Source organism: Homo sapiens, chromosome 1, assembly GCF_000001405.40.
Source record: "Homo sapiens chromosome 1, GRCh38.p14 Primary Assembly".
Lineage (NCBI taxonomy): Eukaryota > Metazoa > Chordata > Mammalia > Primates > Hominidae > Homo > Homo sapiens.
Window position 1 is genome coordinate 23,890,697 of NC_000001.11, and position 12,775 is coordinate 23,903,471.

Genomic DNA, 12,775 nt, shown 5'->3' on the forward strand with positions numbered 1-12,775 from the left:
ATCGCGCCACTGCACTCCAGCCTGGGCAACAAGAGTGAGACTCTGTCTCAAAAAAAAAAAAAAGAAATAGATCAAAGTGACCCTCTTGACCTGCTGCCCAGCTGGCTGGGCCCCTGCTGCAGTGTTCAGCCATGGGGCTTTCCTTCCACGTTTCTTCTCTTAGTCCCCCTCTGGTCTTCTTCTTCTTTTTTTTTTTTTTGAATACAGATTGTTGTTCTGTTGCCCAGGCTGGAGTGCAGTGGTGTGATCTCAGCTCACTGCAACCTCAACTTCCCAGGTTCAAGCAATTCTTGTGCCTCAGCCACCCAAGTAGCTGGGATTATAGGCGTGAGCCACCACACCTGGATAATTTTTTGTATTTTTAGTGGACACATGGTTTCACCATGTTGGCCAGCCTGTTCTCGAACTCCTGACTTCAAGTGATCTGCCCACCTCAGCCTCCCAAAGTGTTGAGATTACAGGCGTGAGCCACTGCTCCTGGCTGGCCTCCCTCTGTTCTTTGTAGCCCTTGATTGCAGTTGTAATAAAGTTTTCTGGGATTTGGGGCTGTAGACTGTGGGGTTTTTTGACCAAATCTTTTGTGTGTGTGTGTGTGTGTGTGTGTGTGTGAGCCTATGAATTATACTGAAAATCCAAATCAGGCCAGGCACGGTGGCTCACACCTATAATCCCAGCACTTTGGGAGGCTAAGGCAGGCAGATCACCTGAGTTCAGGAGTTCGAGACCAGCCTGGCCAACATGGTGAAACCCCACCTCTACTAAAAATACAAAAATTGGCCAAGTGTGGTGGTGGGTGCCTGTAATCCCAGCTACTTGGGAGGCTGAGGCAGGAGAATTGCTTGAATCTGGGAGGCAGAGGTTGCAGTGAGCCGAGATCATGCCATTGCACTCCAGCCTGGGCAACAAGAGCAAAACTCCATCTCAAAAAAAAAAAAAAAAAAAGCCCAAATCTTACCTCTTTTTATAACTACTTTGATAGCAAAACCCACCTCCTCCAAGAAGCATTCTCTGGTCTCCCTTTATTGAGTCTTACTGCACAGACCACTGTCTACCTTGTATTATATGTGTCCATTCCACATCTTGCTTCCTGGATTGTGAGCTCCTTGTCTTGTGAGTAATATCTGGGTCTGGGAGTGGAGTCATCTTTGTATCTCACTTGCTCAAAAAAGTGTCTCCTAGCACAATGGTATCCCCACAGTAGACTCTTGGTGGAGGTCTTTTGATAGCAGCCAGAGCTGAGCAAAACAGTCTTGGGGAGATGGAACTCAGCCCAGCCAGGCAAGGCAATTTGATGGCCTCAAGCTCCCACTCCTCAATCCCAAGCCCATGACAGACACTTCTCACCACTCCAAGTCCTTGTGCCTCCTGAGCCTGACCATATTTCTCACCCTAGTGTTCCTGGCCCGGAGAACCAGACTTGCAGAAAGAGGTTGGAACCACAAGCAGCAGCCCTGAAGCAGAGTGTGAACTAGAAGGATGGTGCCTGCCCAGGCTCTTGACCTTGTGAACAGGCCACCAGGACAGTCACTCCTAAAATGGGTTTGGCAGTGGAGGTGGGACAGCACTGGGCAGGGAAGGAACTTAAAATCTCTCTAGTGATATAGGTCCCAGGGGAGGTTTATTGATATAAGGCAAAATATGGAAGCTTTCCTAGAGGAGAGATGAAAAGGGCTGGCAAAGGAGTTGTTTCCTGAGTCAATTCCTTTAATAAATTCCTCCTGGGGTTTCCAGCACCTCAACTGGCATGAAGCCTGGCACAAAGTAAGCATCTAAGTATTTAAAATGGATTTATAGAATCAATGAATGTCTATTAGGAGAAAAGCAGCCTTCTTCAGACCCACTTCTGTGCTTCTTTTTCCCTTGGCTGCCAGCAAGCCCAGAGCTCAATGCAGTGTGGAAGTGCAGTCACAGGGCCATTCAAGGTCGGTTCTTGATTTATTTATTGCTCCTTTTAGTGGTTTCTAATGCCTTGCTTTTATTTTAACTGCCCCAATTTATAATGTAGCCACCTCTACTCTTTTTAAGGAAAGAATGTGTAGGCTGGGGGTGGTGGCTCATGCTGTAATCCCAGCACTTTGGGAGGCCGAGGCAGGCGGATCATTTGAGGTCAGGAGTTAGAAACCAGCCTGGCCAACATGGTGAAACCCTGTCTCTACTAAAACTACAAAAATTAGCCAGGAGTAGTGGTGGGTGCCTGTAATCCCAGCTACTTGGGAGGCTGAGGCAGGAGAATCACTTGAGCCTGTGAGGTGGAGGTTGCAGCGAGCAGAGATCGCACCATTGCACTTCAGCCTGGGCGACAGAGCGAGACTCTGTCTCAAAAAAATAAAAGGAAAGAATGTGTAATGTATAGGTTAAGAGCAAAGGATTGTTATTAAGGTCTTCTATCTATAGTCCCTTTCTCTAATGTCTACGGGTTATCAAAGAAACTCAGTCTTCCCTGTGGGGCCGAAGGATTCCATCCCCAGCCTGCTGTCCACTCACCATTCATCACCCCCACCCAGGCTGTCTGGATTCACTCAGTCTCCCCAGACCTTTCCTGGACCTTCCTTCTGCATCATCATCTCCAGCCTCTCTCCTGGGCAGAGCAGAGCTAAATGATGTCTGAGGCCTCTTTCCACTTTAGTCAAGGTTAAGTGCCAAGGCTTTAGAAGGAAACATCACTGAGTTCAAATCTCAGGTCGGCCACTGATAGGCTGTGTGACCTTGGGGAAAGTTACTCAAACTCTCTGAGCTTCAGTTTCTTCCTCTGTGAATGGGGAAACTAATCCCTATGTTCTGTATGTGCAGATTAAATAATTATTTAAAACTAATTAAGCAGGAGATTGGTTGCCTGATTGAACTATCAAGAGTGTTGGATGTGGTGGAAAGAAAACAGTCCTGAGTTCGGAATCTCAGGTGCTCAGGGTTTGAGCCCTGGCTCTGGCACCAGCTGGATCTATCCAGAAGCCACCTACTCTCTCTTGTCCCAGTATTGCCATTTGTAAAGAAGATTGGGGGATAACGATGAGTGCTTGGCACTGTGCTAGCACTTTCTACACATTATCTCATTTAAATCTCAAAACAACCCTTCAAGAATCTTATTATTTTCTGTATTTTATAGATGAAGAAATTGGGGCTCAGGAATGTTAAGAAACTTTCTGGGGGCTGGGTACCATGGCTCATACCTGTAGTCCCAGCACTTTGGGAGGCTGAGGTGGGCAGATCACTTGAGCCCAGGGCTTAGAGACCAGCCCGGGTAACATGAAACTCCATCTCTACAAAAAATACAAAAATTAGCTGGGCATGGTGTTGTGTGCCTGTAGTCCCAGCCACTCAGGAAGCTGAGGTGGTGGATTGCTGGAGCCCAGGAGAGTGAAGCTGCAGTGAGCCGTGATCACACCACTGCACTCTAGCCTGAGTGACAGAGCAGACCCTGTCTCAAATTAAAAAAAAAAAAAGGGACTGGGCACAGTGGCTCATGCCTGTAATCCCAATACTTTGGGAGGCCGAGGTGGGTGGATCGCCAGAGGTCAGGAGTTCAAGACCAGCCTGACCAACATGGTGAAACTTCATCTCTACAGTAAAAAATACAAAAGTAACTGGGCGTTGTGGCTCGCCTGTAATCCTAACTACTCGGGTGGCTGAGGCAGGAGAATCACTTGAACTTGGGAGGTGGAGGTTGCACTGAGCTGAGATCATGCCATTGCACTGCAGCCTGGGCAACAAAAGTGAAACTCTGTCTCAAAAAAAAAAAATTTTTTTAATAAAAGGAAGGAAGGAAGGAAGGAAGCAAGGAAGGAAGGAAGCTAGGAAGGAAGGAAGGAAGGGAGGGAAAGAAAGTTGGCCAGGCACAGTGGCTCACACCTGTAATCCCAGCACTTTGGGAGGCCAAGATGGTGGAGCACTTGAGGTCAGGAGTTCGAGACCAGCCTGGCCAACACCGTGAAACCCCATCTGTATTATAAATAATAATAATAAAAAAATCAGCCAGGCAGGAGAATCACTTGAACCTGGGAAGCAGAGGCTGCAGTGAGCCACGATCCTGCCACTGCACTCCACCCTGGGCAACAGAGTGAAATTTTGTCTCAAAAAAAAAAAGAAAGAAAGAAAGAAAAAGAAACTTGCTGGGGACATTGGGAATCCACTCTCTTGTCCATTTATTTGAAAACTAGGATCCCATCCAGTTGCTTTGCATTCTCCCCTCCCATCTCCAAACAAATACTTGGTAAATTAACTGACTAATTAGAAATCTGCAACACTGCCGGGCATGGTGGCTCACACCTCTAATCCTAGCACTTTGGGAGGCTGAGGTGGGCGGATCACCTGAGGTCAGGAGTTTGAGACCAGCCTGGCCAACATGGCAAAACCCCATCTCTACTAAAAATACAAAAAAATTAACCAGGCATGGTGGCGTGTGCCTATAATCCCAGCTACTTGGAGGCTGAGGCAGGAGAATCGCTTGAACCCAGGAGGTGGAGGTTGCAGTGATCCAAGGTCACGCCACTGTGCTCCAGCCTGGGTGACAGAGCAAAACTCAGAAAAAAAAAGAAAAGAAATCTGCCAACAGGACAGTTTTGTTGAGTCTTTCCAAATATCTTCTTCCTCTTTCAATTATTTTATAATTCAGCAACTTCTCTTTTAGAGAATGGACTAATAATGCTTACATTCATAACATACTTGACAATTTACACAGCCTGGGAAGGCTCACGGCTATTATGTGAGGCAGGTTTTGCTCAACTATTCCATGAGCAAATAGATTCAGAGGGGGCAAGTCCTTTGCCCAAAAACCCATAGCAAGTGGCGGACAAAGCCAGGACCTGAGTCCTTTTTTTTCTCTCTCTTTTTTTGAGACAGAGTCTCGCTCTATCACCAGGCTGGAGTGCAGTGGCGTGATCTCAGCTCACTGCAACCTCCAAATCCCGGGTTCAAGAGATTCTCCTCCCTCAGCCTCCCGAGTAGCTGGGAGTACAGGTGCGCGCCACCACACTCAACTAATTTTTTGTATTTTTAGTGGAGACGGGGTTTCATATTGGCCAGGATGGTCTTGATCTCTTGACCTCTTGATCCGCCCTCCTCGGCCTCCCAAAGTGCTGGGATTACAGCGTGAGCCACCGTGCCCGGCCAGGACTTAAGTCCTTGTGTCATGACAAGGTCAGATTGGTAAAGAGGCAGGATGGAATGCATGACTCTGCATAGGGTGAGGGGCCCTGATACCACGCACAATCTTTTGTCTTTATTTCCAGGGGCAAATCCCATCTATTTTCTCTCTCTTTTTGACTTTTATTTTTCTGACCATTTTTTCTCAGTAATGCCTTCATTGCTACCATTAGCTGGCCTTGAGTTATTGTTATTATTATTTACTTTTTGTAGAGATGGGGTCTCACTATATCACCCAGGCTTGTCTCAAACTCCTGGCCTTAAGTGATCCTCCCGCCTTGGTCTCCCAAAGTTCATGCTCAGATTACGGGCATGAGCCACCACACCCTGCCAGGCCCTAGACTTTAGTCCTTTCCCCACCTTACTGGTGGAGTCTGGACCTTCTCACCGACAAGGATTTACCCATCAGGCTGTTGGGCTTTGGAGTCAGATAGCACTGAGTTCCGATCTTGGCTCTGCCAAGTACTATTAGCTTTTTGTTCTCAAGTAAAGACACTCACTTCATTCATCTCTTTCATTCAGTTCCCTCATCCATAAAACAGGAGTAACAAGTAGTACTTGTCTCATCAGTGGTGGGGAGGCATGAAGACTAACTGAGTTAGCTCAGGCCTAATACAGTGCCTGCCACACACTAAGCCCTCCATGAATGGCAGCTTATATAGATGCTATATATGTGAACACATTAGAGCTTTCTCCTCACTTTCTCAAGTTCTTTGCTAGTTGGTAACCAATGAGAGTGACGATGTCATCTCTATTGTGCCCTTGGGCTGGTAGGAGGAGTGTCAAAGAGGGAGATGAGAGGCAGGAGGGAAGGGTGGGACAGGAAAGCAGAGGGGGAAGACCCTGTCTCCACTCAAGACTTTTAGAGATGAAAGAACAGGAAGCTGAGATTGTGCCAGGGAGCACCTGCTAGCTTGCCGTCATGACGAGAGCCCTGGATTAAGGAGATAGGAAGGATGCTGGTTCCAGTCCCAGGTGGAACTGATGGCTGTGTAACCTCAGGCACAATAGCCTCCTTCTCAGTAGGTCCATCTGCACCAGGAGTGTTTTTTTTTTTTTTTCTTCTAGAGTCTTGCTCTGTCACCTAGGCTGGAGGCTGGAATACAGTGGCGAGATCTCAGCTCACTGCAGCTGCCTCCTTCCAGCTTCAAGCAATTTTCCTGCCTCAGCCTCCCAAATAGCTGGGATGACAGGTGCCTGCCACCATTTTTCTATTTTTAGTAGAGATGGGGTTTCACTATTTTGGCCAGGCTGGTTTTGAACTCCTGACCTCAGGTGATCCACCCGCCTCAGCCTCCCAAAGTGCTGGAATTACAGGTGTGAGCCACTGCACCCTGCCAGGAGTGGTTTTTTGATGAGATCTCAAAAGGTCCTTCAAACATGGCAGTTATGCAATTAATCACATGGGGCAGAAAACAGGGGTGTTGTCAGATTGCAAAAGAGCTGGCGAGAGAAAGGCAGATCACGAAAGCCTGGGGCAGAAGTTCTCAAACTTCGTGGTCTCAGCGACCCTTTACCGTCTTAAAAGTTACCTTGGCAATAAATAGCTTTTGTTGATGTAGGTTACACCTATTAGTACTTGCTGTATTAGAGACTAAAACTGAGAACTTAAAAAAAATTAATAATCCTATTGCATGTTAATAGAATTTTTTTTTTTGAGACCGAGTCTCAGTCTGTCACCCAAGCTGGAGTGCAGTGGTGCGATCTCGGTTCAATGCAAACTCTGCCTCCCGGTTTCAAGCAATTCTTCCACCTCAGCCTCCTGAGTAGCTGGGACCACCACACCTGGCTAATTTTTGTGTTTTTAGTAGAGACAGGGTTTCACTATGTTGGCCAGGCTGGTCTTGAACTCCTGACCTTGTGATCCACCCGCCTTAGCCTCCCAAAGTGCTGGGATTACAGGCATGAGCCACCACGCCCGCCCTGAAGTAACATATTTTTAAATGAAAATAACTTTTTGTGGCAAATCTCTTTAATTGTCTGGTTTATGAGAAGGCAGCTGGATTCTTATCTCTGCTTCAGCATGCAAACTGTTGCAATATGTTGTTGTGGTTTAACTATGTGAAGAAAATAAATTTGCCACTCTCTCCTGAGTGCTTCCTTTGTGGCAGGCACTGTGAAAGGCCTTTTACAAGCACTGTGTCCTTTTCTGTTGTTGTTCAAATCCATACTATATATTTATTTTTATTTTTATTTTTTGTTTGTTTTTGAGATGGAGTCTCACTCTGTCACCCAGGCTGGAGTGCAGTGGTGCGATCTTGGCTCACTGCAAGCTCCGCCTCCTGGGTTCACGCCATTCTCCTGCCTCAGCCTCCCAAGTAGCTGGGACTACAGGCACCCGCCACCATGCCTAGCTATTTTTTTATTATTTTTTTGTATTTTTAGTAGACACAGGGTTTCACCATGTTAGCCAGGATGGTCTTGATCTCCTGACCTTGTGATCCGCCCGCCTCAGCCTCCCAAAGTGCTGGGATTACAGGCGTGAGCCACCGCGCCCGGCTTTTTTTTTTTTTTTTTTTTTTTTGAGATGGAGTCTTGTTCTGTTGCCCAGGCTGGAGTGCAGTGGTATGATCTCAGCTCACTGCAAGCTCCGCCTTCCAGGTTCACACCATTCTCCTGCCTCAGCCTCCCAAGCAGCTGGGACTACAGGCGCCCACCACCACGCCCGGCTAATTTTTTGCATTTTTAGTAGAGACGGGGTTTCACCGAGTTAACCAGGATGGTCTCGATCCCCTGACCTTGTGATCCGCCTGCCTCAGCCTCCCAAAGTGCTGGGATTCAGGCTTGAGCCACCACGCCTGGCCAATTTTTTTTTTTTTTTTTTTTTTTTTTTTTGAGACAAAGTCTCACTCTGCTGCCCAGGCTGGAGTGCAGTGGCACGATCTTGGCTCACTGCAAGCTCCGCCTCCCAGGTTCAAGTGATTTTCCTGCCTCAGCCTCCTGAGTAGCTGGGATTACAGATGTGCACCACCATGCCCAGCTAATTTTTGTATTTTTAGTAGAGACGGGGTTTCACCATGTTGGCCAGGCTGGTCTCCAACTCCTGACCTCAGGTGATCCAACCACCTCCACCTACCAAAGTGCTGGGATAACAGGCGTGAGCCACCACACCTGGCCCGTACTATATATTATTTTTAAATGTTTTCATTCTATTTTTGATGGACAAATAATAATTGTATATATTTATGGAATACAATGTGATATTATGATACACGTATCAAAATTGCTAAAAGAGTAGATTTTAAATGTTACCACAAAGAAATGCGCTGTCTCCTTTATCCTCCAAACTGCCCTTGGAGATAGACTGTCTCATTTTCACGATCTTATCTATGAGGAACCAGAGGCTCAGCTAGACTGGATTTGCCGAGGTCACAAAGTTTGTAAATGGCAGAGTCAGAATTCAGACTCATATATCTGGTGCCAGACCCTGACCACAGAAGTTGGGCAGCCTAGATGTGAAACCACCTTTGCAAAATTATGACTGAGACTGTGAAAGAGATCTAACTTAACTGACTCCATCTTGCTTCTAACCTCCAAGGTGTCCTTGTTCATTCCTGGGCTGAACTAACTTTGGGAGAAACTTAGTTTAAAACTAAGACAATAACAGCCCTTTCCCAAAGTACACCTCCTTCTTGGCTGGGGACTAGATTGCCTTTGTAGGACTAATATTAGGCACAAGATTAGAAATTATGGTTTAGGGTCTGGTGTGGTAGTTCACGCCTGTAATCCCAGCACTTTGGGAGGCTGAGGCGGGTGGATCACTTGCGGTCAGGAGGTAAGACCAGCCTGGCCAACATGCTGAAACTCCGCCTCCACTAAAAATACAAAAGTTAGCCAGGTGTGGTGGTGCATGCTGTAATACCAGCTACTCGAGAGGGGGAGGCAGAAGAATCACTTGAACCTGGAAGGTGGAGGGTGCAGTGAGCTGAGATTGCGTCACTGCACTCCAGCCTGGGCGACAGAGGGGTCTCTGTCAGAAAGAAAGAAAGAAAAGAAAAAAAAGAAAGAAAAGAAAGAAAGAGGGAAGGAAGGAAAGAGAGAGAGAGAAAGAAAGAAAGAGAAAGAAAGAAAGAGAAAGAAAGAAAGAGAAAGAAAGAGAAAGAAAGGAAAGAGAAAGAAAGGAAAGAAAGAAAGAAAGGAAAGAAAGAAAGAAAAGAAAGAAAGAAAGGAAGGAAGGTTTAGGAGTCATGCAGCTGGAGGCTACAAGATTCTGACCCTCCCTAAACTGCTCCTGCGATCAGTGCTTGAGATACTTTGCAGACCCTGCACTTGATGGATCAGCTGGCACCACCCAAATCCATAAACTGGCTCATGTGATCTTGTGGCCCCCACCCAGGAACTGACTCAGCGCAAGAGGACAGCTTCGACCCCCTGTGATTTCATCCCTGGCCAATCAGCACTCCTGGCTCACTGGCTCCCCGCAACCAAACAAACTGTCCTTAAAAACTCTGATCCTTGAATGCTGGTGGAGACTGATTTGAGTAATAATAAAATTCCGGTCTCCCGCACAGCCAGCTCTGCATAAATTACTCTTTCTCTATTGCAATTCTCCTGTCTTGATGAATCGGCTCTGTCTAGGCGGCAGGCAAGGTGAACCCCTAGAGGCTTATAGACGGAGGGGCATGGGGTCTCTCTTATACTTCTGGGCAACCATCTCTTCCCTGATCTCTTTTTTTTTTTTTTTTTTTTTGAGACAGTTTCACTCTTGTTGCCCAGGCTAGGGTGCAATGGTGCAATCTCGGCTCACTGAAACCTCCGCCTCCCAGGTTCAAGCAATTCTCTTGCCTCAGCCTCCCAAGTAGCTGGGATTACAGGCATGTGCCACCACGCCTGGCCAAGTTTGTATTTTTAGTAGAAATGGGGTTTCTCCATGTTGATCAGGCTGGTCTTGAACTCCCAACCTCAGGTGAACCGCCCGCCTTGGCCTCCCAAAGTGCTGAGATTACAGGCATGTGCCACCGTGCCTGGCCTCCCTAATCTCATTTTTATCCTTCCCACCTTGGACCATTTTACCGAGCCACGTTTCCAGCTACCAACCAAATTGTCCTTAAAATCTCTGATCCTCGAATGCTGGGGGAGACTGATTTGAGTAATAGGACACTAGAATGGTCGCTCCAAGGGAGTTAAGGCTTATTATTTGTTTTGTTCACTCCCGTATCTTAAGTGCACCTGCCTCACCCATGGTCACTGCTCAGTAACTCTTTCTTTTTTTAATTGTAGGCAACCTTTATTACAGAAGTCCCTTATTTTAAGTGACTTTTTGCCGATTTTAGATTTGAAGGGAAGGTCTACAGTTAAGCTTGGAACCACTTAGTATCCAAGAGGGTGGCAGGAACATGCAACCCCTCAAAGCAGGTGGCATGGGTGCCATTGGGAGGGGATCTGGGGCCTGTCTTGTGCCCTAAATCTTCCTCCACCTGAGACGTGCACCCCAGTGTACCAGAGATGCCTAAGACTCCAATCCCCCAGCTCTGGCTGTGTGGAAAAGGTGCCTACTTCACAGAATCAAGCTTCAGTTGACTACATGCCAAAGAGAGACAAGGTTAAGTGTGGCCTTTCATGGTGTCAAGAAGCAGTTAGTGTCCTGATTTCCCCTCCATCCACTCGCCGACCTGCTGCAGCCTCCCCGGGCACCTCAGGCATAGAAGATGAGCTCAGGGATCTGCCCACCCTGGACCCCAGTCCCGTTGGTGCTGTCCGAGGAGCACTGGAACTGGAAGGCCACCTTTCTGCACTGCACTTGCGTCATCCCCTCCTGCCCAAAGTAGCTGAGGTTGCTGCCGTCCAGAACAGCACTGGCCATGTAGAAGGTGTCTTGTTCAACCTGGACCGGGTGTTCAAACCAGACCGGGAAGGTGTTACTGGATCTGTCCGACATGAATTTGGTCAGATTCTGAGCCAGAACTACCCCAAGCCTCTTGAGCTCAATCTTCACGCTGTACTCAGCCTTCCCAGAGCTGGACCCACACAGGCCTAGCCCCGCAATAAATACCCTTCTGTCCACTGCAAACTGGATGCTGTCGCAGCGCCCGCAGTACTGGCATTGGTTGCTGCGGTAGGCAGAAGACTGGAATAGGTGGCACCTCTGCGGGGTGAGGCCCTTCCTCTTGATCAGGGGGAAGTCCAGGCGGGGCTTGTTGGTGGCCGTGTACCACAGGAAGATGGTGTGGGTCTCCTCCAGAGTCAGGATGTCTGGATGTCTGACTGGGCAGCGCCGTTGGCAAACTCCTCTAGGGTCATGGTTGGAATTCGGATCAGATAGAGGGCTCGCCCCAAAACATGCCTCTTGTTTCGTGGGGTGACTGGCAGCCCCTGCCTCTTGCACTCTGCCTTGGCCCAGTTCAGGACGGCCTTGAAGACCACCGCCTCCTGGTGTTGAGGGCCTCCCGAGTGACAATGATCTCCAACGTCTGCCGGTCCATCTCACAGAAGCCTTGGGACCGCAGGGCCATCTCGGCCTGTGCGTCGATGACCTCCCAGCAGCGCTGGGTCAGGTCGGGCTCCTCAAACAGCCGGCTCTGGGACAGCAGGACGCAGGCGTTCTTGGCTTTCAGACTTGTCCCCAGAAAGTTGACGCAGGCTTTTGCCAATGCTGGGACGATGTACTTCTTAGCAGCCTACAGAGTGGCCAGCACCGTATCCGCTTCCAGATCGATCTCATCACTGTACACGTACTTTAATAGGATCAGAAAGGCTGCGGGCTCCACGTCTGGAATGTGAATTTCAGATTTGACTTCCGCCAGGTCCCAGTAGAACATGGCATAGAAGACGGAGCTGCAGACAGCCAGGACGTACTTGTGGGCGGGCACCGTCCTGGTCGCCCCCGGGGGTCCCACGACAAAGTGCACGTCGGCCACGAGCTCGTTGTTGAACATGAGCGCGTTCCTCTCGCGCAGCGTGGGGGACCGCGCCATTTGGGGCTCTCCGGGTGGTTGTTGCCAAGTGTGGGCTGCGCGGGCGCGGGCGCGGGGGCGCGGTGCAGGCTGCGCTGCCCGGCCTTCCTGCCCACGGCGGCGCCGGCGTTGCTGTGGGCTAGGACCGCGGCCGCGGCGCTGGCGGGGACGTAGAGCTCCGCCGCCATCCTCGAGGGCGGGGCGTCGGGGGCAGCCTCGGAGCCTGTGGACCCCCGCCCCGCGCCCTCGCGCCGCGCCGGGGCCTCGGGAGCGGCTCTGCAAGCAAAAGCAGGGAGGTCGGGCGCTGAGCGACGCGGCGGTGATGGCAGGCCAGGGGCAGCACCATTCATGGGCGGCGGCGGCGGCGGCGCTGCGACCCGCGGGGCTGCCACCCGTGCCCCTACCACCCCCGCCCCTGCGATCCTGCCAGAGCCTAGCCTAGCGCAGCCGGGCCAGGCCTGGCCGCAGCAATAACTGCTTTTTAATGGATTGGTTGGAGGTATTCTCTCTGACACATGCCAGCATCCTCAAGGAGGGTAACCTGCTTTCTAATTTTCAAAGTGAGGCCGGGTGCAGTGATTCACACCTGTAATCCCAGCAATTTGGGAGGCTGAGGTGGGAGGAGCGGTTGGGCCCAGGAGTTCAAGACAAGCCTGGGCAACATAGGAAGACCCCGCCTCTACAAATAAAAAAAAATTAGCCAGGGGTAGTGGTTCATGCCTGTGGTCCCAGGCACTTGGGAG

At 49.4% G+C, this 12,775-nt stretch overlaps 1 protein-coding gene and 1 pseudogene across 1 annotated transcript in view, besides 2 other annotated features; both read right to left on the bottom strand.

Annotated features, from left to right (window-relative positions):
* CNR2 (cannabinoid receptor 2) overlaps positions 1-12,775 on the bottom strand; it is a 42,848-nt gene that overhangs the window by 20,182 nt on the left and 9,891 nt on the right. The window lies entirely within an intron of this gene.
* Positions 6,402-6,461: an enhancer, noted in NCBI's record as "active region_380". NCBI's record gives its function as "activates an Ori minimal core promoter by ATAC-STARR-seq in GM12878 lymphoblastoid cells {active_cell/tissue: GM12878}" and the evidence as "EXISTENCE:reporter gene assay evidence [ECO:0000049][PMID:35858748]".
* Positions 6,512-6,641: an enhancer, noted in NCBI's record as "active region_381". NCBI's record gives its function as "activates an Ori minimal core promoter by ATAC-STARR-seq in GM12878 lymphoblastoid cells {active_cell/tissue: GM12878}" and the evidence as "EXISTENCE:reporter gene assay evidence [ECO:0000049][PMID:35858748]".
* On the bottom strand, positions 10,353-12,312 carry BTBD6P1 (BTB domain containing 6 pseudogene 1; annotated as a pseudogene).